General features: G+C 44.5%; 1 annotated feature.

The window, feature by feature from the left end:
- Positions 857-1,457: an enhancer, noted in NCBI's record as "H3K27ac-H3K4me1 hESC enhancer chr14:56166391-56166991 (GRCh37/hg19 assembly coordinates)". NCBI's record gives its function as "activates a minimal SCP1, AML or CMV promoter by ChIP-STARR-seq in primed H9 embryonic stem cells {active_cell/tissue: H9 hESC(primed)}" and the evidence as "EXISTENCE:reporter gene assay evidence [ECO:0000049][PMID:30033119]".

Below are 3,345 nucleotides of genomic sequence, written 5' to 3' on the forward strand. Positions count from 1 at the left end.
TCCCTCACACATGCTTTGCAAAGGGCTCCAAATCTGTATATTAATATATCAAAGTGGAAGCTCACATGTATAGAGACGAAATCGCAAAGTGGGGTGTGATTCTGAAACATGCAGTACTCTGAAAATGGAAGATGGGGAAATGGTGTTGCTACTCCTAATTCCTGCATCTATGATCACATAAATGAGAGTTAGAAATTAGGAGAGAAGGGAATTTTTCAGAGATTGCTGTTGCTGTTATTGTACTGTGAGTCCCACCTCCGTCAAGGGTCAGGGATGGGGGAACCCTTCATCTAAAGAGGGAGGGCCTTCCACGAGACCAACTTGGCAGTTTGTTATGCATCCTCTGCATCTGGAAAACAGAGTAGACGGGTCTGACTCCATCCCAGAAAATACAAAGGTCAAGAAATGGCTACTTTGTTTGATGGCAAAATAAGGGAGTGGTGGCTATGCTGGATGGCCTGCATTTCCCAAATTTTTCAGAACAAAGGGTATGTAGATGTCTGCCATGGACCAGACATGAGTCATGTTAGGGAGAAAGCCAGTGGCATTGTCTTGGCATCTATCCAGTTGGGCCATCTGGAGGAGGAAGAGACCTCATCAGACAAAAGGCAAAGAAACCATTAGATACCTACGAATTGAGGAAGAAGTAAGCGACTAGTTGGAATAGCATGTTCTTGCTCTCAAGGGAATTGCAGGTGAGAGATCATTAAGAATGGAAATGAAGGACTCGAAGTTGGCGGAGTCACACCAGGGAGCTTAGGTCCCAGAGTCACTGCCTGGAGGAAAGCTGTGCAGGGCAGGGCCCACAGCACACTTTGCATGGGTGAGAAATGATCTTCTATTGTGTTTAGCCACTGGGGCTTATTAGTTAACACATCATATTATAGCCTTGTTGCATGTTCCTACAAACAGCATACCCATTCTACCTTAGAGGGTTGTGAGAAAAATGGGATGGCCTGTGGAGGGCCTGGTGTGTGTTGGGCCCTCAGCAAGTGTTCGTCTCCCTCCCTCCCTGTGAGCACATGCCAAGGGCCAGCCTGTGTTCTGAGGCGTGTCTGTAGCAGGGAGCTGGCTCTTGTTACCAGAAAGCCAGTTTAGGTCCTTTGAGCACCATCTCCTGATTGTTGGTTTGTCTTTCTTATTCTTTCTAATTTGGGTTCCAATTTTGGGATTATGTACAGATGTCAATAGAAAGTAGCACCTTGGTTGATATTGAGCCCTATCTGAATTAAGCCAGTTCCTTCTCGGCTTCACTTCTAGGGTGGTTTTTGTTTGTTTGCTTTCTTGCTTGCTTTTTGGCTAGGAAGAAAGGCACTTGCCTAAAAATATGGGGATGCTACTGTATATCTATGGAGGATTTGTGATTTTTGTTCATTCAACAAGTTTTTATTGTACATCTTCCAGGAACCAAGCAGAAGTTCTGGGGCTAGAACCACAGCAAATAACAATAGAGACATAGTGGTGCTTCCATAAAGCTCGGGGCAGCCGTGGGGATGACAAAGACAGAAAACCAAGCAGGAGGGGCACTGAGCCTAGGCTAGGGAGGGCTCCTAGAAGGACACAATGTCTAAGCCAAGGCCTGAAGCAGTACAGGCAAAGAAGGGAATGCAGGCTGCTGGGGAGCAGAGGGGGAGCAGGGGATAGAGCAGGAGGTACAGGAGAGGACAATGGAATAACGTTACGTGTGTTTCCATCTTTGTCCAAATAGTTCTGCCTTCCTATTGTTGAACAGGTATGTGGTAATGATAATATGAAAATTCTATACATAGAATTCACTGTCAAAGCATTTCTGAATGAGAACTAGCACACTGATCATGGCACTCATTTATGGGTTACGATATGGTTTGGTTGTGTCCCCACCCAATCTCAACTTGAATTGTATCTCCCAGAATTCCCACGTGTTGTAGGAGGGATCCAGGGGGAGGTAATTAAATCATGGGGGCCGGTCTTTCCTGTGCTATTCTCATGATAGTGAACAAGTCTCATGAAATCTGATGGGTTTATCAGGGGTTTCCACTTTTGCTTCTTGCTCATTTTCTCTTTCTGCCGCCATGTAAGGAGTGCCTTTCACCTCCTGCCATGATTCTGAGGCCTCCCCAGCTATGTGGAACTGTAAGTCCAATTATACCTTTTTTTGTTCCCAGTTTCAGGTATGTCTTTATCAGCAGCATGAACCCGAACTAATACAGGCTATGAATTAGAAATCAAGATTTGGCTTAAGCATCACCTCTGCTTTGAAACTTTCCTGCCCATGTGTGGTCTGGCTATCTAAATGTCACATCAAACCTCCTTCTCCCTTACTGCCTCTCTACTAGAGGGGCTGAAAACCAAATATTCACTTTTCCAACTTCCCTTGCAGCTAAAAGTGGCCATGTAAACTAGATCTGGGCTGTGACCCCTAAATAAATGTCTGCAGGGGAGGCTTCTGGAAAAGCAAAAGTTCTCTTGATTTTTTTTTTTTTAAAAGAAGAACACACGAGCTGATCCAGCCCTTTTGCCTTTTCTCCTTTTCTTGCCTTGAACATAGACACGATGGTTGGTGATGCAGCAGCCATCTTGTGACCAAGAAGAAAGGCCAAAAGAATTGCAGGAGAATTGGCCCTAAAATCAATGAAACTCTCACCCACCCCTTTAACCTCTTGTCTCCAGACTTCTGGGTATGTAAAAACACAACACAACAAAACAAACAAACAGAACAACAACAACAACAAAAACAAAATAAAAACCTAAGACCAAATACCATTGATTTTGTTTAAATTGCTCTAGTGAACTGTAGGCAAAATAAGTCCTGCTACATCAAACTGGGCAGAATCTGGTAGTCCTTCCTCTGAGTTCCCATCTCACATGTTGCTTAGGTCTACGTTCAATTACCATTGAGTATTTGTTATTTTTGCCTGTCTGACTTTCCTGATACTGTGAGTTCCCTGGAGTCAGGGATGACTATGTTATCCACTTTGGTGACCCCAAATCTACTACTATGCCTGGCAATGTTAGCTGCTTACTAATGCTTTGTGAAACTTATTAGTAATGCTTAGTGAACAAGTTAATGGCTGACTGAATGTGGTTATGTGGAGGGTGATGTGGGGGAGGACTCATTTGGGGGAGGAGTCATTAGTGGCAGTGAGAACAATGAAGAGATTTTAGCAGTGAGAATCCAGGGAAGAGGTGATGAGAGCCCAAACTACAAAAAGCAGGACCATCTCAGGAGAGATAAAGGGATGGGTTCAGGAGTTACTTAGGAGGCAGAAGAGATAGGATCTGGTAGGGGTGAGGGTAAGAGTGAAAGAGAAGAGGAGCTCAAGGATGGCTGGAAGATCCTTAATGTGTGGTGGATTTGGGCATGCA

The sequence above is a fragment of the Homo sapiens genome, chromosome 14 (genome assembly GCF_000001405.40).
Source record: "Homo sapiens chromosome 14, GRCh38.p14 Primary Assembly".
NCBI classification, from domain to species: Eukaryota; Metazoa; Chordata; class Mammalia; order Primates; family Hominidae; genus Homo; species Homo sapiens.